This window comes from Homo sapiens, chromosome 19 (genome assembly GCF_000001405.40).
Source record: "Homo sapiens chromosome 19, GRCh38.p14 Primary Assembly".
NCBI lineage: Eukaryota > Metazoa > Chordata > Mammalia > Primates > Hominidae > Homo > Homo sapiens.
In genome coordinates this window covers 53,647,692-53,671,694 of record NC_000019.10, presented here as the reverse complement: position 1 = coordinate 53,671,694, position 24,003 = coordinate 53,647,692, and the positions used below count along the sequence as shown (strand labels likewise).

Here is a 24,003-nt window from a genome sequence, read left to right as displayed (position 1 = left end):
ACACATCCAGTCAGAACCAATCATGCACTCTAATCATACACTTTAATTTCAAATTTTTTTTTTTTTTTGAGACAGAGTTTCACTCTTGTTGCCCAGGCTGGAGTGCAGCGGTGCGATCTCAGCTCACTGCAACCTCTGCACCCCATGTTCAAGCCATTCTCCTCGTCTACTCAGTCTCCTGAGTAGCTGGGACTTCAGGGGCCCGCCACTATGCCAGGCTAATTTTTGTATTTTTAGTGGAGATGGGGTTTCACCATATTGGCCAGGCTGCTCTCGAACTCCTGACCTTGTGATCCGCCCGCCTCAGCCTCCCAAAGTGCTAGAATTACAGGCAGGAGCCACGGCACCCGGCCGTTTTTGGTTTTAAATTTCTCAGCATTACCTGTGAAAGAATCCAAGTGTACATTTCCACAGTCCTGTCTATGAACACAGAAGAAGGAGTGATTGGCAGCAAACTGATGCTTCAATGCCATGATAGGAGCAAGTGGGCTTCAAAACTATCCTAATACCTGTCCTTTTTTTTTTTGAGACAGAGTCTCGCTCTGTCGCCCAGGGTGAAGTGCAGTGGCACGATCTCGGCTCACTACAAGCTCCGCCTCCTGGGTTCATGCCATTCTCCTGCCTCAGCCTCCCCAGCAGCTGGGACTACAGGCGCCTGCCACCACGCCCGGCTAATTTTTTTGTATTTTTTTAGTAGAGACGGGGTTTCACCGTGTTAGCCAGGATGATCCACCCGCCTCAGCCTCCCAAAGTGCTGGGATTACAGGCGTGAGCCACCACGCCCGACCAATATCTGTCTTCTTGATGCAAATCCAAGTTTAGCATCCTCATTTGGGCATTCATTTGTTAATCTATTCTGCAGTCTTCTGATCTACCTCTTATGCTACTCTTCTTTGCAATTTTACTGTAAGGCAAGAAATTCCTAGTCTTCAGTAACCTGGAGTTAAGATACCAGTCCCCATCAGTTACAATCAAGGACTCACCTCAGCACTGAAAATGCCTGGGTCCCACACGTCACAGGCAATGTGCCAGTATGTTCTTATCAGACTCCAGAAAGCACTCCCAGATTGCATGTCACCAAGGAGACAGTGATCACAAGCCCCAGGGAAAACCTGCAAGGTAGCATAGAACCCATGTCCCTCCACAGGCAGTCCTCCTACAGCTCAACAGAAGACAGTGTTGGAATGTGTTGAATTCTGACATTCTGTTCTACCACCTCACGGGGACAGCGCCTGTAAAAGCCTTTGGGAGAGTGTGGCTGGGAAATGGGCACATTACTTCTCAGTGCACATCCAGCAAGTGATCCTCCATGTGTCAAAAAATCTTATGCTTGCTGGGCGCGGTGGCTCACACCTGTAATCCCAGCACTTTGGGAGACTGAGGTGGGAGGATCAACTGAGGTCAGGAGTTTAAGACCAGCCTGGCCAGCATGGTGGCACCCCATCTCCACTAAAAACACAAAACATAAGCCAGGCACGGCTGTAATCTCAGCTACTTGGGCGGCTGATGCAGGAGAATTGCTTGAACCCGGGAGGCAGAGGTTGCAGTGAGCTGAGATCACTGCACTGCACTCCAGGCTGGGCAATAGAGTGGGATCCTGTCTCAAAAAAAAAAAAAGAAAAATAAGGCCGGGCGCGGTGGCTCACGCCTGTAATCCCAGCACTTTGGGAATCCGAGGCGGGCAGATCACAAGGTCGGGAGTTTGAGACCAGCCTGGCCAACATAGTGAAACTCTGTCTCTACTAAAAATGCAGAAAACAGGCTGGGTGCGGTGGCTCACGCCTGTAATCCTAGCACTTTGTGAGGCCGAGACGGGCGGATCACCTGAGGTTGGGAGTTGGAGACCAGTCTGACCAACATGGAGAAACCCCGTCTCTACTAAAAATACAAAATTAGCTGGGCGTGGTGGCGCATGCCAGTAATCCCAGCTACTCCGGAGGCTGAGGCAGGAGAATGGCTTGAACCCGGGAGGCAGAGGTTGCTGTGAGCCGAGATCGTGCCATTGCACTCTAGCCTGGGCAACAAGAGTGAAACTCCATCTCAGAAAATAAAAAGAAAAATAGTGATCTCAGGTGATCCATCCACCTCAGCCTCCCAAAGTGCTGGGATTACAGGCGTGAGCCACCGCGCCCGGCCTCAGCTTGCTTCTTTCATTGTGTTGTGACTTGCCTCGAAATTCTTTCCAGCAAGAGATCCAAGAACCCGCTTTTGGGGTCTGGATTGGTTGCCTCTTCTCTGGCAATGGTGTGACCCAGGCTATCCCTGAATCCAAGCATTATAGCTGCTACGGAACCCAGCCTCACAACCCAGAGACCCTGGTCATTTCCTTAAAGCTGGGCTGAAGTCCAGTTTATGGCGCAGAACAAGCACCACGGTTTAGCTTTTACCTGCAGTGGCTCCTGGAGCCCCCCGCCCCCCCTCCCCCCCATGGTGTTTTTTCGGTGCTCGCCTCAGTCATTGGACCTCAGCTATGACAGCACTTTCATTCTGGCACCAGAAAGTGCCCTCAAGGCTGAGTGCCACAGACTGAGAAGTACCCTCCCTGTATTGTCCAGTACCTGGAAACTGCAGGCACATCCTCTATGCAGAAGATAAGAGATTTAAAACTGACTTCTGAATGTTGCTCAATAGTGAAAGGTAGATTGAGCATTCTCTCCAGTTCTCAGGAACAATGCAGAGCCTTGTAATGCAAATCCTAGGCCTGCCCTGGGGCTCATGCCTGTAATCCCAGCACTTTGGGGATCCCCAGCCTGAATAACACCTTTTAAATTACTTTGTTTTCTTTTTCTTTTTCTCTTTTTTTTTTCTTAGTCTTGCTCTGTTGCCCAGGCTGGAGTGCCATGGCGCGATCATCAGCTCACTGCAGCCTCCGCCTCCTGGGTTCAAGCAATTCTCCTGCCTCAGCCTCCTGAGAAACTGGGATTACAGGCGCCTGCCACCACACCTGGCTAATTTTTGTATTTTTAGTAGAGACAGGGTTTCACCATATTGGCCAGGCTGGTCTCGAACTCCCGACCTCATGATCCGCCCACCTCAGCCTCCCAAAGTGCTGGGATTACAGACGTGAGCCACCGCACACGTCCAGCACCTTTTAAATTACGTGGACAGGCCCGGTGTGGTGGCTCACCTGTAATCCTAGCAGTTTGGGAAGCCAAGGCAGAAGGATTGCTTGAGCACAGGACTTCGAAACCAGCCTGGGAAACATACTTAGCCCCCTTATCTACAAAAAATGCAAAAATTAACTGGGTATGGTGGTACGTACTTATAGTCCCAGCTACTCAGGAGGCGGAGGTGGCTCACTTGAATCTGGAAGGCAGAGGTTGCAGAGAGCCAAGATCTGGCCACTGCCCTCTGGGCACCGGTGTAGTCTCAGCTACTCGGGAGACTGATGCAGAAGAACTGCCTAAACCCAGGAGGTGGAGGTTGCTGTGAGTTCCCACAACTGCACTCCAGGCTGGGCAATAGAGTGAGATCCTGTCTCAAAAAATGAAAAACATTTTTGCTCTACAAGATTACATTTAATTGGCAACTACCTAGCTTTGAACCAGCAAGGGGAAAAGTAACAGAACGGCATGTCTGTCTCACTAACTTCTTGTTTTTTTGAGACAGGTTCTTGCTCTGTCCCCCAGACTGCAGAGCGGCAACACAGCCGTCGGCTCACTGCAGCCTCAACGTCCCTGGCCATACACAACTGCAGCATTTTGGCTAAACCAGCATGGCTTACAGAGAACAAGTAGTTCTTTCTCTCTCTTTTTTAAGACAAGCGTCTTGCTCTGTTGCCCAGACTGGAGTTCGGTGGCGCGATCTCGGCTCACTGCAACCTCCGTCTGCCGGGTTCAAGCAGTTCTCCTGCCTCAGCCTACCGAGTAGCTGGGACTGCAAGCCTGTGCCATCATGCCCAGCTAATTTTTTTGTATTTTTAGTAGAGATGGGGTTTCACCATGCTGGCCAGGCTGGTCTCGAACTCCTGGCCTTGTGATCCGCCCTCCTCGGCCTCCCAAAGTGCTAGGATAATAGGCGTGCGCCACTGCGTCCTGCCACAATAGTTCTTTCAATGGTAAGACTAGTTGAAAACCTGAGTTAGATGTGTATCTCTAATCTTAGTGATATTTAAATGTAAATAAAAATGTTATGTCTGGAACACACTTGGGCTGCTTGGGATATATTCAGATAAATACTATTATACATAATTTATAAATAAATACTATTTATTTACTAATAGGGTATCAGAAAGGTACAATCCCTATGTCTCCAGGTTGACATAGAAATTTTCTACTGGTCCGAAAGTTGCATCTGTACGACTGGCCAGTTGCTTCTGGTTCAACAAGGACCTAACCTGCCAATCACACAGGACAGCTGGGGGCTGACATTCCAAATTGTAATCTTTACTAGGCACAGAGGCTTAGCAGGCCTCTGGTTTAATAACACACGAAAGTAACTGCTTGAAGTAGCAAGGCACTCACTCACAAGGCACCTATAGAGTTGGTACTTATGGTCTGGAAATAGCCACATTGTAAGCTGACCACCAGTTATAATTACCAAATATTGGCAGGGCACAGGGGATCATGCGTGTAATCCCAGCACTTTGGGAGGACGAAGCAGGAGGATTGAGCCCAGGCCTCAGCTTGCTTCTTTCGCTGTGTTGTGACTTGCCTCGAAATTCTTTCCAGCAAGAGATCCAAGAACCCGCTTTTGGGGTCTGGATTGGTTGCCTCTTCTCTGGCAATGGTGTGACCCAGGCTATCCCTGAATCCAAGCATTATAGCTGCTACGGAACCCAGCCTCACAACCCAGAGACCGTGGTCATTTCCTTAAAGCTGGGCTGAAGTCCAGTTTATGGCGCAGAACAAGCACCACGGTTTAGCTTTTACCTGCAGTGGCTCCTGGAGCCCCCCGCCCCCCCTCCCCCCCATGGTGTTTCTTCGGTGCTCGCCTCAGTCATTGGACCTCAGCTATGACAGCACTTTCATTCTGGCACCAGAAAGTGCCCTCAAGGCTGAGTGCCACAGACTGAGAAGTACCCTCCCTGTATTGTCCAGTACCTGGAAACTGCAGGCACATCCTCTATGCAGAAGATAAGAGATTTAAAACTGACTTCTGAATGTTGCTCAATAGCGAAAGGTAGATTGAGCACTCTCTCCAGTTCTCAGGAACAATGCAGAGCCTTGTAATGCAAATCCTAGGCCTGCCCTGGGGCTCATGCCTGTAATCCCAGCACTTTGGGGGTCCCCAGCCTGAATAACACCTTTTACATTACTTTGTTTTCTTTTTCTTTTTCTTTCTTTTTTTTTCTTAGTCTTGCTCTGTTGCCCAGGCTGGAGTGCCATGGAGCGATCATCAGCTCACTGCAGCCTCCGCCTCCTGGGTTCAAGCAATTCTCCTGCCTCAGCCTCCTGAGAAGCTGGGATTACAGGCGCCTGCCACCACACCTGGCTAATTTTTGTATTTTTAGTAGAGACAGGGTTTCACCATATTGGCCAGGCTGGTCTCGAACTCCTGACCTCGTGATCCGCCCACCTCAGCCTCCCAAAGTGCTGGGATTACAGACGTGAGCCACCGCACACGTCCAGCACCTTTTAAATTACGTGGACAGGCCCGGTGTGGTGGCTCACCTGTAATCCTAGCAGTTTGGGAAGCCAAGGCAGAAGGATTGCTTGAGCACAGGACTTCAAAACCAGCCTGGGAAACATACTGAGGCCCCCTTCTCTACAAAAGATTTAAAACTCAGCTGGGTGTGTTTGTGCACACCTATAGTCCCAGCTACTCTGGAGACGAAGGTGGATCACTTGAGTCTGGAAGGCAGAGGTTGCAGAGAGCCAAGATCTGGCCACTGCACTCCACCCTGGGCAACAGAGTGAGACCCTGTCTCTTTAAAAAATAAAGAAAAGGAAAAAGCTGCCTTTGTGGACACCTAAATAAAAAATAAAATGAACCTAAAACCTACTGGGTGCAGTGGCTCAGAGGCCGGGGTGAGAGGATGTTTGTGCCCAGGTGTTGATGACCAGCCTAGACAATGGTGGGAGACCCCAACCCTACAAAAAAAAAAAAAAATTAGCTAAGCATGGTCCTGTATGCCTGCCATCCCAACTACACGGGACGCTGGGGTGAGGGAGGTTGAGGCTACTGTGAGTCACGATCTCACCACTGCACTCCAGCCTGGGAGACAAGCCCATCTGGGCAACACAGTGAGACTCAATCACTAATTGAACAAAATCCAAAAATTTTAAAAAATCAATAATGCGGTCCAGGAATGGTGGCTCACACCTGTAAACCCAGCACTTTGGGAGGCTGAAGAGGGCGGATGACTCGAGGCTTGGAGTCTGAGACCTGGCCAACATGGTGAAACCCCACCTCTACTAAAAATACAAAAACAATCAACTGGGCATGGTGGTGCATGCCTGTAATCCCAGCTACTCGGGAGGCTGAGGCAGGAGAATTGCTTGAATCCGGGAGGCAGAGGTTGCAGTGAGCCAAGATCACACCACTGCACTGCAGCCTGGGCAACAAGAGTGAAACTCCGTCTCAAAAAAAAAAAAAGAGTATTAGGGGCAGAGAATCAAGGTGTCGGAGTCATGACTACAAATAGAGAGGACTCAGTGTTGGAGATTTTAGGGGGAGTCTTACAACCTAAATGTGAGGCTCATATGACCCCGGGGGAAGTGCAGAAACACCATGGGAAGCCAATACTTACTGAACTCTGTGAGGACTTCCCATCCTGAGGATGAAAGGCAGGGCAGGGGCCCTGGAGCTCTTTTATACCCTAGGGACCACCCCACAGATGGAGAATGGATTAAAGTCTGGCCACACCCACTCTTTGCCCTCCAGCCTCCTCCCTGAATTTGATTTTCCTAGCTTCTGTAAATGCATTTCTTTTTCTTTTTCTTTTTCTTTTTTTTTTTTTTGAGAGGTAGTCTCACTCTGTCACCCAGGCTGGAATAGCATGATCTTGGCTCACTGTGACCTCCGCCCCCCAGGTTCAAATGATTCTCCTGCCTCAGTCTCCAGAGTAGCTGGGATTACATGCATGCAATATCCCGCTACGGAGTCTTGCTCTGTAGCCATGCTGGGGGGCAGTGGAGTGATCTCAGCTCACTGCAACCTCCGCCTCCCAGGTTCAAGTGATTCTCCTGCCTCAGCCTCCCTAGTACCTGGAATTACAGGCGCGTGCCACCACGCCCAGCTAATTTTTGTACTTTTAGTAGAGACGGGGTTTCTCCATGTTGGTCAGGCTGGTCTCAAACTCTCGACCTCAGGTGATCCGCCCCCCTCGGCCTCCCGAAGCACTGGGATTACAGGCATGAGCCATCACGCCTGGCACCCAGCTGATTTTTATCTTATTTATAGAAACGGGGTCTCACTATGCTGCCCAGGCTAACCAGTCTGGTGCAGGTGCTCACCAGCAAAGCCAGCTAATTTTTTAAATTTTTAATGGAGATGAAGTCTCACTTTTTTGCCCAGGCTGGTCTCAAACTACCAAGCTCAAGTGATCTACCTGCTTCAGCCTCCTAACGTTTTGGGATTACAGGCAGGAGCCTCTGCGCCCGGCCTTCGAATAAATTTAGACTTACAGAAAAGTTGCAAAAAGTACAGAAAGTTCTCTATGTTCTCCACCCAGTTTTCTTTAATGTCCATATTTTACATTAGATTTGCCACAACTAGGAAATAAACAATACCACTGCCCCAATTCCAGAGCTTATTATGATTTCCCATTTTTCTATTTTGTCCCAGGTAGAACCTCTCATTGGGATTCCTTGTCATTTCTAAGACCATCTACTCTGTTTCTTTTCTTTTCTTTTTTTGTTGAGACAGTCTCACTCTGTTGCCCAGGCTTGAGTGCAGTGGCGCCATCTCGGCTCACTGCAAGCTCCGCCTCCCGGCTTCACGCCATTCTCCTGCCTCAGCCTCCCGAGTAGCTGGGACTACGGGCGCCCGCCACCACGCCCGGCTAATGTTTTGTATTTTTAGTAGAGACGGGGTTTCACCGTGTTAGCCAGGATGGTCTCGATCTCCTGACCTCGTGATCCGCCCACCTCGGCCTCCCAAAGTGCTGGGATTACAGGGGTGAGCCACCGCGCCCGGCCCATCTACCCTATTTCTGTTGCTCTGTTTCATTTTATTGATATCACATTATTGCTATTACAATTGTCTCAGGTGTTTGCTTGTTTATTTTCTCTCTTCTACTGATCGATAATGCTCCGCAAGGACAGAGACCTGGTACATCCCCTTTAAATTCTGAGTTTCCCAGTGCCTGGAACAGGGCTTGATTTCTGACAGGTAGTGTAGTGGGTTTGATTCCTGCACAAAAATCTGCTTAACCGCAGGCCTAGACTATAACTCTAGGAGGGTGGAGACCCAGTCTCCCTCCCACCCACGGCGTCCCCAGTACTAACATGGAACCTACCCTGAAGCCCAGTCAATACTCTTGAAATGAATGATGGGCTGAACAGATGCTAAAATCACAGACAAGCATCATTTAATCTTGTAATTATCAATCTCAGTTGACACACGGGGGAAAGAGGCTCAATGCTGGCCTGATTTGTCCCTCCTCAAGCAAACAAAACAAAACAAAACATGGCTGAGAAGTGGAGAAGTCAAAATTAAAACCCAGGAGGCCAAGATCCAGCCTTTAAAGCTGAGCTTAATTAATCCTAACCACAGGTGACAGAGCTATGCTGCCAGCCTCGTCTTACTTCACCCCAGATGTGCGGGTCATTTGTTAATTTTTTTATTTAAAAAATTTTTTTAAAATTATTATTGTTTTTTTGAGACAGAGTTTCACTCTGGTTGTCCAGGCTAGAGTGCAGTGGTATGATCTTGGCTCACTGCAGCCTCTGCCTCCAGGGGTCAAGTGATTCACCTGCCTCAGCCTCCCGAGTCACTGGGATTACAGGCGCGCACCACCATGCCTGGCTAATTTTTTTATTTTTAGTAGAGATGGGGTTTCACCATGTTAGCCAGCCTGGTCTCGAACTCCTGGCCTCAAGTAATCCACATACCTCGGCCTCCCAAAGTGCTAGCTCACTTCAGCCTCAACCTCCTGACCTTAAGGGATCCTCCCACTTCAGCCTCCTGAGTCAAAGTTGTTGGGATTATAGGAATGAGCCACCACACCCAGCTACGTTTTTTTTCAATTTTAGATCTCCTCGTGTTACCTAGGCTGATCTGGAACTCCCAAGCTCAAGCAATCCTCCCATCTCAGCCTCCCAAAGTGCTGGGATTACAGTCCTGAGTTACCACACCCAGACAATTACTGGAAGAGTCAATGTTGTCACCACTCCCCAATTTCTGTATGTAATTTCCTCCCAACCAGGATACCCTGCCCCCTCCCCTCAAAGTTCCTCCACTGGGCCAATATCCTTGCATCTATTCAACTCACAATTTTAAAGTCACGTCTTCAAGAGGAAGCCAGCACCCTCGTACCCAGGTGATGGCCCCTGTCACGGCAGCCTATAAACCTACTCACAGTACAGTACAATTGACGTGGAATCATCAGTTGCAATAATTATCTGTGCACGCCTTTGCTTAGTATTTACCTTCCTGGGGTTTATAACACACCCATACGCATGTGGAGGACAATCATTCTCCCCTCCCAACGTGGTCTAAGTGTTTGTGAAAGGTAATACTTTCCTCAGTTTGACTCCAGACTGGAACCTTGCCTGGCCAGAGCCAGGTCCTCAAAATGAACATTAATTGGAATATGAAGAAATAACAAAGAATGGGCAGGAGGCAGAAGGGCATCAGGACAAATAGCTAATGGCTGTGAGGCTTAATACCTAGGTCAATAGGTTCAGCAAACCACCACGGCACGCATTTACCTATGTAGCAAACCTGCACATCCCGCATGTGTATCCCAGAACTTAAATTAATGAAAAAAGAAAGAAAGAAGTAACAGAATGAGGGCCTGGCGCAGTGGCTCACGCCTGTAATCCCAGCACTTTGGGAGGCTGAGGCAGGTGGATCACCAGGTCAGAAGTTTGAGAACAGCTTGGCCAACATGGAGAAACCCCATCTCTATTAAAAATTAAAAAAATAAGCCAGGTGTGGCGGTGGGCGCCTGTAATCCCAGCTACTCGGGAGGCTGAGGCAGGAGAATTGCTTGAACCCGGGAGGTAGAGGCTGCAGTGAGCGGAGATCGCGCCATTGCACTCCAGTCTGGGTGACAGTGCCAGACTCCGTCTCAAAAAAAATAAATAAATAAAAGAAAGAAAAGAAAGAAAGAACAGAATGAACAAGCCAAAAGCTTTTTAATGCAAATTTGAAAGCTAGTGGAGGGTTTGGGAAACCAGACAGGCCTGCAGGGATCAGGGCTATTTCAGGGCTGATTTGCAAGACACTGAACTTTACCCTAATTCTATAGTCACCCCGCCCCCTCCAAACACCCCTAAATACAGGCGAGCGCTCTCTGAATGAAGCTTTCTTTCTCTCTTTTTCCAAATACCCAGCCTTCAAAGAGATGAATGGATTTCTTTGTGACACTCTATTTACTGTTTTAGAACCTTCACTCCCTAAACTCTTCATTCTTCCTGAAAATCTTTTATGGATCATCTCGGGGCTGTAATCCCATTCTGTGGAGAGCAGGAAGTTTTTTAAAAGGTCCCCAATCACTTTTTAGCCGGGGGGCGAGGAGAAACCAAGGGAAGTTGGGAGAGAGAAATTCTTCCTTTCTTTTTTTTTTTGAGACAGGGTCTCAACTGCCTCCCAAGCTAAAGTTTACTGGTACAATCAAGGCTCACTGCAGCTTCAACCCACTCCTGGGTTCAAACAGTCCTTCTACCTTTGACTGCCAAGTAGCTGGGACTACACCATGCGTCTGTAATTTTTTTATTTTTTGTAGAGACGGGGGCAGGGGGGAGGGGTCTCACTATGTTGCCCAGGCTGGTCTTAAACTCCTGGGCTCAAGTGATCCGCCTGCCTTGGCCTCCCAAAATGTTGGGATTACAGGCGTGAATCACCTGAGCTCACCTCAGCTTTAATACTGAATATTAAGCTCCTTGAGAAGTTGGATGTATCCATTTTGTCCACCAAGGCATCCTGATACTTAAAAGGATTCCATGTGTGTTTTCAGTTCTGGGTTTAGAATGTCTTCATCTACATGAGGAAAACCACCTCCACTTCCTGTATTTGTCTCAAAAGTCACCTTTGATTTGGTGATTCCTCAGAAAGTTAAATATCACTTCAGTTAAGTTTAGGGGGGAAAAAGTTAAACACAGAATTACAGAATGATCTACTGGGCGCGGAGGCTCATGCCTGTCATCCCAGCACTTTGAGAGGCTGTGGCGGGCGGATCACGGGGTCAGGAGTTCAAGACCAGCCTGGCCAACATAGTGAAACCCCGTCTGTACTAAAAATACAAAAAATAAAAAAAAAATTAGCAGGTTGTGGTGGCAGGCACCTGTAATCCCAGCTCCTCACTGCAGGAGAGTCGTTTGAGCCCAGGAGGCGGAGGTTGCAGTGAGCCAAGATCACACCATTGCACTCCAGCCTGGGAGTGAGACTCTATCCCACCCCCAGCAAAAAAAAAAAAAAAAAAAAGGAGGAATTGCAGAATGATCTAGCAATGTCACCCCGGGTATATCCAAAAGAAGTGAAACAGGGTCTTTTTTTTTTTTTTTTTAACTTAGGGCTACCTCGTCTCTCCAGTAAAAAGCAGGGTTTGGGCCAGCGTGGTCGCTCATGCCAGTAATTCCAACACTTTAGGAGGCCAAGGCGGGTGGATCACCTGAGGTCAGGAGTTCAAGACCAGCCTGGCCAACATGGTGAAACCCTATCTCTACTAAAAATACAAAAATTAGCCGGGCATGGTGGCACGCGCCTGTAATCCCAGCTCTTCAGGAGGCTGAGGCAGGAGAATTGCTTGAACCTGGGAGGCGGAGGTTGCAGTGAGCCGAGATCACGCCACTGCACTCCAGCCTGGGTGACAGAGCAAGACTCTGTCTCCAAAAAAAGTTTGATTTGGTACTATCACGGAGATCATAATTTAAAAAAAATTATATATATATATATATATATATATATATATATATATATATATATGTATACGCACAATTACAAATAAATAAATAAATAATAAAGTTTGACTTTTTCCCCAACTGACATTTGACTTCATATAATTCAGTTCCATTTAAATGACTTCAGAAGCTTCTAGGCTGTGGAAAGGGGCTCCCTCTCCTGGTTAAGATCTGCCAGCTCTTACAAGTTCCTTTTCAGGTCTACAAACCACTCCGCCCTTGTGCAGCCGTCACAGCCCTCCCTGCTTATCTCAAGACAGACTCTAGGTTAACTGGTGAATAGAGCTTTACTGAGCTATGTGCAGAGAAAACACGGAAGATTACAGCACAAAAAGAAACAACGGAAGCCTGAATATCAGACGTCATTGTTCAGAAATTCTTCAGGTTTAATGCATTCTCTGGGGTCTCACAGACTGTCCTTTGGTCCTTTTCTGTCTTTTTTTTTTCCTTAAATACTCTCCTATCCAGCCTCTCTCATCTTGTAGCCCCATCCGTACCCGCTGTGATGGTAGGACCCATTATTTCCTGAGCAAGTCTGATCTACCTCTTCTGAAGATTCCAGATCTCAAACAACTGCCATCTCTGGATCTCAGTCCCTTTTGCGTTGGAACAATCTTTCCACACCAGAGGGGATCCCTTTTTAGGTTACTATGCCCAACAGTTCTCACTTTATCTTCAATTCTCCATTCTAGGCTATGTTTTGGAAATTGTCTTTCATAGCTATAAGACAGAGAAAGGCTATGCAAAACTACATAACATGGCTACATAATATCAACATTTATTTATTTACTTACTTTTTTTTTTTTTAAACAGAGTCTCACTCTGTCACCCAAGCTGGAGTGCAATGGCACAATTTCAGCTCACTGCAACCTCCGCCTCCCGGGTTCAAGCGATTCTCCTGCCTCAGCCTCCTGAGTAGCTGGGACCACAGGCGCCCGCCACCATACCTGGCTAATTTTTTTATATTTTTAGTAGAGACGGGGTTTCGCCATGTTGGCTAGGCTGGTCTCGAACTGACCTCTGGTGATTCGCCAGCCTTGGCCTCCCAAAGTGCTGCGATTACAGGCGTGAGCCACCGCACCCAGCCATGGAGAGGCACTTGCCATAAACAAGACCAAACCCATGTTAACACAGAGAAAGCGCCAAAAACCTCCAGAGAAAAGAACAGAGGGAAACAGGCCAGATCGGACCTTAGGGAGCTGCTAGTTCAAGATCTGCATAAAATGAGAAGTGGCTGCTGAATTTGATTCAGAGTCAATGCAATGCCCCTTCCTCCTGATTCAGTTTCGCTATGAGAAAATGCAGGCCCACATCTTTGTGGAGAATGCCAGCATCGCCTAGGCACTGAAGAATGTCAGTGGCAAGATTAGGGATGAGGATAACAAAAAGATGTCAATCTTTGTCAACCCCACTGATACCCCCTGCAGAGAAAGCTGAAGTCGGAAAAGGCAAAGCAGATAAAGCTGATGGTGAAGAAGCGATGTGATTCCTCCCAGTCCAGTCTTGACAGCCAGAGACTCCCGTTTGACCCAGACCTGGTGACCAGTGACTCTAAGACGGCATCGAAACCTAGAAAGTGCATGGCTGCCTTTCTGCACGTCCTCCAAGACAACATGCCTGAGGCGGAGTCTGTAGGACAGATGGACAGGGGAAAGGGCTGGAGCCAGGAGACGTGTGCAGACAGGAACTTCCTGTCTACCACTTTCCCGGACAAACAAGTCTAGCAACATAACCTCCATCCTGGAATTGTTCCCCAAATTATTATGCCTGGATGGTCAGCCATCACCTAGACCAACTCTGTGTGGTATTGAAGCCCTCAAGGTTACCAACTTGCAAGGGAAGCTTCTTTGGATGTGACATGCTGCAGAACCTGCTCCTGCAATTTCTGCAGTAATAATTGCTTGCTCTACGTCCACGGAGATTTCTGCAGTAATAATCGCTTGATCTACGTCTACGGAATGGCACAGGGCGTGTATCTTACTGTGAGCCCATGCATTGCCAGATCTCCATCTTGCCACTGATGGCACGATGAACGGTACATGCCAGCACTGACTGGTTTGGACCAATTGCTAGATCTCCTTTGTAAATACCCAACATCCTGCTCTACTTTGAACTGGGTTACCTTGGTGACTGTACCTATGGTGTGTCCTGAAGGCAGTGACCTTTCACCAGTGTCCACCCAGGGCACTCATGAGTGCCCTGTCAATCTCTAGCAGTCTCCTAGCTGCTTACCATGACGGGGCCTGCCTCTGCCTGACCACTCCCCTCACCCAGAGAAACCAGCCTGGTACAGGTAGTTCAAAAATAGCAGGAAGGCTGGGTATGGTGGCTCATGCCTGTAATCCCAGCACTTTGGGAGGTTGAGGAGGGTGGATCACCTGAAGTCAGGAGTTCAGGACCAGCCTGGCCAACATGGGGAAACCCTGTCTCTACTTAAAAGATAAAATTTAAAAACATACAAAAAAAAAAAATTAGCCAGCGATGTGGCATGAGCCTGTAATCCCAGCTACTTGGAAGCCTGAGGCAGGAGACTCACTTGAATCTGGGGTACAGACGTTGCAGTGAGCCAAGATCCCGCCACTACACTCCAGCCTGGGCAACAGAGTGAGACTCCATCTCAAAAAAATAAAATTTAAAAAGACCAGACTGGTCAACATAATGAGACCCCGTCTCTATAAAAAAATAAAAGAGAGTGGTGTTGTCTGTTATGTCAAAAAAAATTTTTTTTAAAAAGAAAAAGCGGCTGGACATGGTGGCTCCCACCTGTAATCCCAACACTTTGGGAGGCCAAGGAAGGTGATCACCTGAGGTCAGGAGTTCGAGATCAGCCTGGGCAACACGGCAAAACCCTGTCTCTACAAAAAAAAAAAAAAAAAAAAATACAAAAATTGGCTGGGTGCAGTGGCTCACACCTGTAATCCCAGCGCTTTGGGAAGCCTAGGCGGGCAGATCATTTGAGGTCTGGCCATTCCTGGCCAACATGGCAAAACCTCGTCTCTACTAAAAATACAAAAATTAGGCGGGCGTAGTGGCAGGCGCCTGTAATCCCAGCTACTTGAGAGGCTGAGACAGGAGAATTGCTTGTACCAGGGAGGTGGAGGTTGCAGTGAGCCGAGATTGCGCCATTGCACTCCAGCCTGTGCAACAGAGCAAGACTCAGTCTCAAAAAACATAACACAAACAAACAAAAATATTAGCCAGGCGTGGTGGCTGGCATCTGTGATCTCAGCCACTCAGGAGGCTGAGGTGAGAGGATCACTTGACCCCAGGAGGCAGAGGCTGCAGTGAGCCAAGATTGCACCATTACACTACAACCTGGGCAACAGAGTGAGACCCTGTCTCCAAAAAAAAAAAAAAAAGAAAGAAAGAAAGAAAAAGAAGACTCCTTTTCTAATGATAGGGTGGAATGGCACAGGGCGTGTATCTTACTGTGAGCCATGCATTGCCAGATCTCCATCTTGCCACTGATGGCACGATGAACGGTGCATGCCAGCACTGACTGGTTTGGACCAATTGCTAGATCCCTTTGTAAATACTGAACATCCTGCTCTTCTTTGAACTGGGTTACCTCGGTGACTGTACCTATGGTGTGTCCTGAAGGCAGTGACCTTTCACCAATGTCCACCCAGGGCACTCATGAGGAGAATCCGGTGGTCTGGAGATGGAAGTTTGGAGAGGATTAAGGAGGGCTGCTGCAGAAGGCAAGGGCAGGTGCGAGGCCCCTTTAACAAGATGGAGTTCTAACAAGGAATTCAACCCCCAAAGACAGAGAGAGGAATGTCCTAGGAGTCAGAGAAGACCTGACTTCCCATTCTCACTGATACCTGACACCCAGGGAGCTATTGCTTTTCTTTTTTCTTTTTTTTCGAGATAGGGTCTTGCTCTGTCACCCAGGCTGGAATGCAGTGGTGCGATCTTGGCTCACTGCAACCTCTGCCTCTTGGGTTCAAGCAATTTTCCTGCCTCAGCTTCCTGAGTAGCTGGGATTACAGGCATGCACCAACATGCCTAGCTACATAGTTGCCCATAGCCTGGGCAACAAAAAAACAAAAAAAGAAACCCTGTTTGTCCTTTCATTTCAATGTTTAATTTATGGAAAACTGGAAAATACCCCTTTAAATTTAGTCAACGTGTTTGCACACAGAATTTTTTTTGCAAGATTAGTTTTTACAAACCTTCCACAACTTGTTCAAACCGTGAGCTTATTCTTATCTAATTTAAAAATCACATAACCCTCTCAACTAGGTGAAATTTGACATTCTCCTGCCTTTTAAAAATATTTTACCAAAAACATGTTTCACTCTTCTCACACACTTTCCATGTAAAACTATTTTTTCAGTAGTTTCAATCATATGTTATAATGGTAACTAGCAACTTTTACTTTTGGTGGCTTAAATTTCCTTTCACGAACCCTTTCACGACTTTCCCAGACCATCTACAACATGCTTTGACTTTCTGACTTCTCCTTAGCATCCCCTTTTTGAACAAACCAGTTATTTTACTTTAGAACAACAATTTACCATACAAGATGCTTTCTTATAGACCAAGGAGTCTAACATGTACACGAGTCAGTGGCTCACACGAAAGCTGCCATGGCACAATGAAGGTGAAGGCCAGCGTGCTATCCGGCTGAGGTGGGATCCCATGGCCTCTTCAGTCCACTGAGGGTGCACCATCTCACCTGCTGTGCTGGGTAGGCGGAGCACAACCACCTGTGGTTTTTGTTAATTAAAAAAAAAATCTCTTTTCTTTATAACCTTTGCATAGATAGAGTGCATGGCTAATTCCACATGTTCCCAGGCCTTATCTAGAATCTAATGCTCCCAAGTAGGTAAACTGAACAATTTTCAAAAGCCTAAGAAGCAGTTGATGACCTTAAAGCATCGAACAAACCTAATATCTGACCTGCCTAATTTAGACTAAATGTCTTCATTTTTCCCAATAATCTTTAAAACTTTTTATTTCCCAAAGATTACTAAAGTTATGTGAACTAAAAGGCATTAGTTTTTATTGTTCTTTCAAAATATTTGATTTAGGTGTTTATTTATTTATTTGAGATTACTGGCTTTAGGGTGGAGTCCTTGGACAAAAAGGACCAGGAAAGCATGCAGTTTCTAGGGCCCAATATAATAAGTGGGCACAGCAGAAAGCAACACAGGTCTCCAAAAATTAAGGGTCCCATTTTTATACCAGATCCTGAATCCCAAAAAGAACAGAGCCTTAGATTTCTGAAGGGGAATCTATCCATTTCCAATTCCTGTGGTTCCATGAGGAAAACAGGTTTTTTTCCAAAATGGCGTCTCTGGTGCCTCCTGTTTTTCCCAAGGAGTCCCAGGCTGTTAGAATTTGAATATATACATTGCCGGGCACGGTGGCTCATACCTGTAATCCCAGCACTTTGGGAGGCCGAGGCGGGTGGATCACCCAAGGTCAGGAGTTCAGACCAGCCTGGCCTACATGGCGAGACCCTGTCTCTACTAAGGATACAAAAATTAGCTGGGCGTGGTGGCAGGTGCCTGTAATCCCAACTACTCGGGAGGCTGAGGCAGGAGAGTCACTTGAACCCAGGAGGTGGAGGTTGCGGTAAGCCGAGATCGTGCCATTGGACTCCAGCCTGGGTGACAAGAGTGAAACTCCGTCTCAAAAAAAAAAAAAAGAATTTGAATATACACACACATATATATTTTTTATATACTTTTTTATTTTATATATATTATGTATATTTTATTATACATATTTTATTTTTTATATATCATATATATTTTATTATATAAATATTTATATTTTTTAATGAAAACCACAATTTTGTTTTTGGGTGCCACTCATTTTTGCTTAGATTCACACTATTTCTTTAGTGCTAGTTAGCAGATACAGAAATGATCTTGCCAGGATGCACAAAATATGGAACGCTTCATGAATTTGCATGTCATCCTTGTGCAGGGGCCATGCTAATCTTCTCTGTAGCATTCCAATTTTAGTATATGTGCTGCTGAAGCGAGCACTACACTTTTATTTTATTTATTTTATTTTATTTTATTTTTATTTTATTTTTATTTTTTGAGACGGAGTCTCGCTCTGTCACCCAGGCCGGAGCGCAGTGGTGAAATCTTGGCTCACTGCAAGCTCCGCCTGCCGGGTTCAAGCAATTTTCCCGCCTTCCTGAATAGCTGGGATTACAGGCGTGCACCAACATGCCCAGCTAATTTTTTTTTTTTAGTAGAGATAGAGTTATGCCATGTTGCCCAGGCTTGTCTTGAATTCCTGACCTCAAGTGATCCACCTGCCTCAGCCTCCCCAAGTACTGGGATTACAAGCATGAGCCACGATGCCTGGCCAAATATCCACTTTTAATGTACCTGAGTTTTAACTATAGCGCTTGTTTTAAAAAGTCCTTTTAAATCTTTTATTACCCAACCTTGGCTAGGCCAAACAGCTAATATTTCTGTGTTCTATAAGAAACAGAGGGAAGAGAATCAACACATGGTAAAGGTGACACCAGAAAGTACTCGCTGAGTAAGCCGGGAATGGAACCCTGAACCTGGCCTGCCGTTGTGAAAAGAGAAAGCAGGGCCACATGGTATTAGGAGGTTAAGCTTCCAAGGACATGATTGACCAGTTTGCTGGGCCGTCTTGAACAGCGGGCTTATGCGGCCCTGGGCACGCATTTCATCCGAAGGTACCCCTCTTCGTGACAGAATACAGAAAGACACAAAGCATACCAGATTTATTACAGCTTCCTAAGACCAACCTCAGAATTCTTTTTTGTATTAATCAAAGCATTACAGAGGAGATAAACAGTGATTTTTACCGTTCATCTAACCAGTTTGCACAGAGGGGCCACAGTCTAATTGGTAAGAAATACTTTACCTTTTGCCAGCATGCCAGGCTTCTAGGTTCCCTTTGCCCAGGTGGTCCTAGTGACTCTGCTTGCCACACTATAGTCCTGAGGGCCAAGCCTGCGGCATCACAAAGGAAATTCTTTTTCTGTTTTATGGAACCTTAAGCAAAAGCCTCTTAGTTTTGCAAGTGTGGCCGAAGGGGTTGCGTGGGGTAAGCCAATTAACATTTTTTCATCATGGCGCCAAAGCAAAATACGTGACAAAACACAGACACTGGCCACTGTGCTTAGCACCCAATACTGAACTCGCAAGGCTCAAACTTGACCCCAGCTGGGCCCTGTCATCTTTAACCCATTTTTAACCAAGGGGGACTTTACTGAGGGGAGGGCCTCTGACCCCATCCCATACTTTACTCAGGTAAAATGGACCCCATTACTTATCCAAAGTCAGCCAACTGGTGCTGCAGTCTGCTTCCTTTGGATCAGGATAGTAACGAAGCTGAAAGATTAGCAGATTTAACTTTCGGGAGCCCTCATTTTAATTTTTTAATTTTTATTTATTTATTTATTTATTTTCGAGACAGTGTTTCGCTCCTGTTGCCCAGGCTGGAGTGCAATGGAGCAACCTTGGCTCACTGCAACCTCAGCCTCCTGGGTTCAAGATTCTCCCGCCTCAGCCTCCCAAGTAGCTGGGATTACAGGTGCATGCCACCACACCTGGCTAATTTTTTGTATTTTTAGTAGAGACAGAGTTTCACCATGTTGGCCAGGCTGGTCTCAAACTCCCGACCTCAGGTGATCCACCTGCCTTGGCCTTCTAAAGTGCTGGGATTATAGGCGTGAGCCACTGCGCCCAGCCATTTTTATTTTTTGAGACAGAGTCTCGCTCTGTCACCCAGGTTGGAGTACAGTGGTGCAATCTCCACTCACTGCAAACTCCGCCTCCTGGGTTCAAGCAATTCTCGTGCCTCAGCCTCATAAGTAGCTGGGACTACAGGCACAAGCTACCACGCCCCACTAATTTTTGTCTTTTTAGTAGAGATGGGTTTCACCATGTTGGCCAGGCTGGTTTCGAACTCCTGAGCTCAGGTGATCCACCCACCTTAGCCTCCCAAAGTGCTGGGATTACAGGCGTGAGCCACCACGCTCAGGCAGATTTTGCCATTTCTGTAAGTCTTTGCTCCTTCCCGTGCCTAATGTATAAGCCAGAAGGAACTCAGTTTTTCAGAATTTAAGGATCCCATTTTTGGCAGGGCGTGGTGGCTCATGCCTGTAATCCCAGCACTTTGGGAGGCCGAGGCGGGCAGATCACGAGGTCAGGAGATCAAGACCATCCTGGCCATCACAGTGAAACCCCGTCTCTACTGAAAATACAAAAAAAAAAAATTAGCCGGGCGTGGTGGCGGGCGCCTGTAGTCCCAGCTACTGGGGAGGCTGAGGCAGTAGAATGGCGTGAACCTGGGAGGTGGAGCTTGCAGTGAGCCGAGATCGCGCCACTGCACTCTAGCCTGGGCGACCAAACGAGACTTCATCTCAAAAAAAAAAAAAAAAAGATCCCATTTTTACCTAAAATATTGGCATTCATTACTCTCAGGTTCCCTTGATTAACTTACCCAGTAATTTTTTTTTTAATACCTAAGTGCACAAGAAAAATGAAACAAAGGGGTAGAACACAAACATCCCTGTTAATTTTTAAAAGCCAAATTTTACACCTCCTGCAATATTACCATTTGCTACCAGTTTCTTTCTGACCCAGTCACATGTAAGAGGCCTCTAACTGGGTCCAAGCCAGCTAATTACCACATCAGATCCATTCCCAGAACCAGTCCAGTTTCTGTCACAGCTTCCAAACCCAGTTTGGATCAGATATTTGCTCAATGAAACTCGGAGAGCTCAAAACACAAATCTGTGGAGCTCTGAAATCCGAGAGGGAACTTACCCACGATCCCCGGCCACTCGGAGAGGTCAATGGACACAAGTGGGTTCCGCAGGCACCTTGCGTGTTCACTCAGCACTCCCGAAGGTTCCTAGAAGCTCTACTCTGGACTCCGCTTCTGACACCATCTGTTAAAAGAAAAACTTCAGCCGAATTAAATTTAAAGGGGGCCAGGTACAGTGGCTCACACCTGTAATCCCAGCACTTTGGGAGGCTGAGGTGGGCAGATCACTTGAGGTCAGGAGTTCAAGACCAGCCGGGCCAACGTGGTGAATCCCCATCTCTACTAAAAACAGAAAAAATTAACCAGGTGTGGTGGTGGGCACCTGTAATACCAGCTACTCGTAAGGCTGAGGCGGGAGAATCACTTGAATTAGGAGGCGGAGGTTGCAGTGCGCAGAGATGGTGCCATTGCACTCCCGCCTGGGCCACAGAGCGAGACTCCGTCTCAAAAAAATGAAAATAAAAATAAAATAAAATAAAAATAAAAATGAAACAAAATAAAAATAAAATAAATAAAATAAAATAAAATAACAAAATACATAAAATAAAATAAAATACATAAAATAAATAAAATAAAATACATAAAATAAATAAATGTAAAGGAGTTCAACTGAACAATGAACCTCTTGCAAATCGGGCAGCTCCGAAAGTCACGGCAGATTCAGACGGACTCCAGGGGTGCCTCGTGGTCAGAACAAATTTATGGACAAGAAAAGGAAAGTGACATACAGAAATCGGAAGTGAGGTACAGAAAGAGCTGGATTGGTTACCGCTCAGCGTTTGCCTTATTTGAACACAGTTTGAATGCTCAGCAGCCTGTGAGTGGATGAAGTACAGCTGCTGGGCTGCTGGGATTGGCCAACACTCAGTGGCGGTTACAGGCGCATAAAACGTAAGTTAGGCTTCCTTTTTTTTTTTTTTGATATGGAGTTTCCCGCTCTTGTTGACCAGGCTAGAGTGTGCAATGGCGCAATCTCGGCTCATTGCAACCTCCGCCTTCCGGGTTCAAGCTATCCTCCCGCCTCGGCCTCCCGAGTAGCTGGGATTACAGGCATGAGTCACCACGTCTGGCTAATTTCGTATTTTTAGAAGAGACGGGGTTTCTCCATGTTGGTCAGGCTAGTCTCAAAGTCCCGACCTCAGGTGATTCGCGCGCCTCGGCCTCCCAAAGTGCTGGGATTACAGGCGTGAGCCACCACGCAGGGCCTAACTTAGGTTTTCAATCTTTTGTACCTATTAAGTTAGGTTGCAGTTCATCCACAAGGACTCAAATATAGAATTACGGAGTCCTTCTCAGGCCATATTTAGTTTGCTTTAACACAAGGGTCTCAACAAACAAACAAACACAGGGGTCTCACTATATTGCCCAGGCAGGTCTCTTAACTCCTGGTCTCAAGCGATCCTCCTGCCGCGGCCTCCTCCAGTGCTGGAATTGCAGGCCTGAGCCACCACGCCCGGCCTGGACTACCCTTTTTTTCCCCAAGACGGAGTCCCACTCTGCCGCCCAGGCTGGAAGTGCAGCGGCACAATCTCGGCTCACTGGCTCACTGCAACCTCCGCCTCCCGCGTTCAACCGATTCTCCCACCTCAGCCTCCCGAATAGCTGGGATTACAGGCGCCCGCCACCACGCCCTGATAAATTTTGTATTTTTCCGTAAAGACGGGGTTTCACCACGTTGGCCAGGCTGTTCTCGAACTCCTCACCTCGGGTGATCCTCCCAAAGTGCTCGGATTAGAGCCACCGTGCCCGGCCTGCATCCCTCTTAACTGGTGCTCCGATGCGAACTACCGTGCCCAGCCTGGACCCCTCTTAACGGGTGCTCTGATGCGAACCACCGTGCCCAGCCTGGACCCCTCTTAATGGGCGCCCTGATGGGAACCACCGTGCCCAGCCTGGACCCCTCTTAATGGGTGCTCTAATGCGAACGACCGCGCCCGGCCTGGACCCCTCTTAATGGGTGCCCTGATGGGAACCACCGTGCCCAGCCTGGACCCCTCTTAATGGGCGCCCTGATGGGAACCACCGTGCCCAGCCTGGACCCCTCTTAATGGGCGCCCTGATGCGAACCACCGCGCCCGGCCTGGACCCCTCTTAATGGGCGCCCTGATGGGAACCACCGTGCCCAGCCTGGACCCCTCTTAATGGGTGCTCTAATGCGAACGACCGCGCCCGGCCTGGACCCCTCTTAATGGGTGCCCTGATGGGAACCACCGTGCCCAGCCTGGACCCCTCTTAATGGGCGCCCTGATGGGAACCACCGTGCCCAGCCTGGACCCCTCTTAATGGGCGCCCTGATGCGAACCACCGCGCCCGGCCTGGACCCCTCTTAATGGGCGCCCTGATGGGAACCACCGTGCCCAGCCTGGACCCCTCTTAATGGGCGCCCTGATGCGAACCACCGCGCCCGGCCTGGACCCCTCTTAATGGGTGCTCTGACGCCGTGGTTTCCCGAGGTCTAGCGGGCCAGATGGGCCCTGGACTTCCTGGTTGGATGAGGGGCTGTGGCTGCAGAGCTGTCTGGTGGGGGGTTGGGCGGGGCGAGGTGGCGATACTTCCAGGCAGCGGGCGAAAGGGAAACCTGTTAACTAGGGGCCCGTGGCCCGGGGGGCATCGTGGGGGATACATACTGACCTGCCGCGTTGGCACCGGAAGATTGTCGCAGGGCTGGACGGCAGAACTCTGAAGTTGGAATAGAGACGGCAGAAAAATTCAGAATTTTGCCGTATTCCAATTAAACAAGTTCTGATCCCTCAAAAGGGAACCAAGATGTTGGTTCCAGGTGGCAAAGAAAGGTGTCGCCGGGCCCGGGGTGGATGGGCCGGGAGACGCGCGCCAGCGCCTCGTGGCGCACGGAAACTCCTAAGGGACGTGCAGCCGGCGCGCAGCTCTAGAGACCTCGGTCCAGGGCGTGGCGGCGTCAGGGGGTGTGGAGACGCCGGCAGCGGAAACAGGGGTCAGGCGAGAGGGCGTGGAGTGCGCCGGGGGGGCTTCAGAGGGCGTGGGGGATGCATGAGCAGCCCCGTTCCAGGCAGGCGGCAGGAAGTGAGCCTGGCATTGGGGTATGGTAGAGGGAGGAGGCCGCGGCGGGGGGCTTTGCAGGTAAAGAGGCCAGCCTTGCGGGGGTTAGGGATGTGGAGACCCTGGGAGCACACCTAGCGCTGCAGGTGAGGAGATCCACGCCCAGGGTGTCCCAGGTGAGAAGGTGGGCAAATGTACC

The 24,003-nt window shown here is 48.2% G+C and overlaps 1 long non-coding RNA gene, 2 other non-coding genes and 2 pseudogenes across 4 annotated transcripts in view, besides 7 other annotated features; 1 reads left to right on the top strand and 4 right to left on the bottom strand.

Moving 5' to 3' along the window:
• LOC107985342 (uncharacterized) overlaps positions 1 to 23,647 on the bottom strand; it is a 46,575-nt gene extending 22,928 nt beyond the window's left edge. The window contains exons 1-3 of one of the 2 annotated variants that reach the window (XR_001753996.2): positions 23,418 to 23,647; positions 20,786 to 20,910; positions 756 to 1,112 (exon numbers count right to left, since the gene is read on the bottom strand). This is a non-coding gene — a long non-coding RNA (uncharacterized LOC107985342). Of the gene's footprint in view, positions 1 to 755; positions 1,113 to 20,785; positions 20,911 to 23,417 lie in introns of those variants that run through there. The other variant, XR_007067332.1, reaches the window with a different exon arrangement.
• Positions 1,651 to 2,538: an enhancer, noted in NCBI's record as "NANOG-H3K27ac-H3K4me1 hESC enhancer chr19:54172411-54173298 (GRCh37/hg19 assembly coordinates)". NCBI's record gives its function as "activates a minimal SCP1, AML or CMV promoter by ChIP-STARR-seq in primed H9 embryonic stem cells {active_cell/tissue: H9 hESC(primed)}" and the evidence as "EXISTENCE:reporter gene assay evidence [ECO:0000049][PMID:30033119]".
• Positions 2,441 to 2,538, bottom strand: MIR512-2 (microRNA 512-2). The gene has a single exon (NR_030181.1). It is a non-coding gene; the product is annotated as a microRNA 512-2 (primary transcript).
• Positions 2,539 to 3,427: an enhancer, noted in NCBI's record as "NANOG-H3K27ac-H3K4me1 hESC enhancer chr19:54171522-54172410 (GRCh37/hg19 assembly coordinates)". NCBI's record gives its function as "activates a minimal SCP1, AML or CMV promoter by ChIP-STARR-seq in naive and primed H9 embryonic stem cells {active_cell/tissue: H9 hESC(naive and primed)}" and the evidence as "EXISTENCE:reporter gene assay evidence [ECO:0000049][PMID:30033119]".
• Positions 4,316 to 5,204: an enhancer, noted in NCBI's record as "OCT4-NANOG-H3K27ac-H3K4me1 hESC enhancer chr19:54169745-54170633 (GRCh37/hg19 assembly coordinates)". NCBI's record gives its function as "activates a minimal SCP1, AML or CMV promoter by ChIP-STARR-seq in naive and primed H9 embryonic stem cells {active_cell/tissue: H9 hESC(naive and primed)}" and the evidence as "EXISTENCE:reporter gene assay evidence [ECO:0000049][PMID:30033119]".
• Positions 4,933 to 5,016, bottom strand: MIR512-1 (microRNA 512-1). Its single transcript, NR_030180.1, has one exon. It is a non-coding gene; the product is annotated as a microRNA 512-1 (primary transcript).
• Positions 5,205 to 6,092: an enhancer, noted in NCBI's record as "OCT4-NANOG-H3K27ac hESC enhancer chr19:54168857-54169744 (GRCh37/hg19 assembly coordinates)". NCBI's record gives its function as "activates a minimal SCP1, AML or CMV promoter by ChIP-STARR-seq in primed H9 embryonic stem cells {active_cell/tissue: H9 hESC(primed)}" and the evidence as "EXISTENCE:reporter gene assay evidence [ECO:0000049][PMID:30033119]".
• Positions 6,093 to 6,982: an enhancer, noted in NCBI's record as "NANOG-H3K27ac hESC enhancer chr19:54167967-54168856 (GRCh37/hg19 assembly coordinates)". NCBI's record gives its function as "activates a minimal SCP1, AML or CMV promoter by ChIP-STARR-seq in naive H9 embryonic stem cells {active_cell/tissue: H9 hESC(naive)}" and the evidence as "EXISTENCE:reporter gene assay evidence [ECO:0000049][PMID:30033119]".
• Positions 9,575 to 10,464: an enhancer, noted in NCBI's record as "OCT4-NANOG-H3K27ac-H3K4me1 hESC enhancer chr19:54164485-54165374 (GRCh37/hg19 assembly coordinates)". NCBI's record gives its function as "activates a minimal SCP1, AML or CMV promoter by ChIP-STARR-seq in primed H9 embryonic stem cells {active_cell/tissue: H9 hESC(primed)}" and the evidence as "EXISTENCE:reporter gene assay evidence [ECO:0000049][PMID:30033119]".
• Positions 10,465 to 11,354: an enhancer, noted in NCBI's record as "OCT4-NANOG-H3K27ac-H3K4me1 hESC enhancer chr19:54163595-54164484 (GRCh37/hg19 assembly coordinates)". NCBI's record gives its function as "activates a minimal SCP1, AML or CMV promoter by ChIP-STARR-seq in primed H9 embryonic stem cells {active_cell/tissue: H9 hESC(primed)}" and the evidence as "EXISTENCE:reporter gene assay evidence [ECO:0000049][PMID:30033119]".
• On the top strand, positions 13,098 to 13,930 carry LOC100288093 (nuclear RNA export factor 3 pseudogene; annotated as a pseudogene).
• RNU6-698P (RNA, U6 small nuclear 698, pseudogene) lies at positions 17,904 to 18,010 on the bottom strand (annotated as a pseudogene).
• Positions 23,648 to 24,003: the final 356 nt, after the last annotated feature.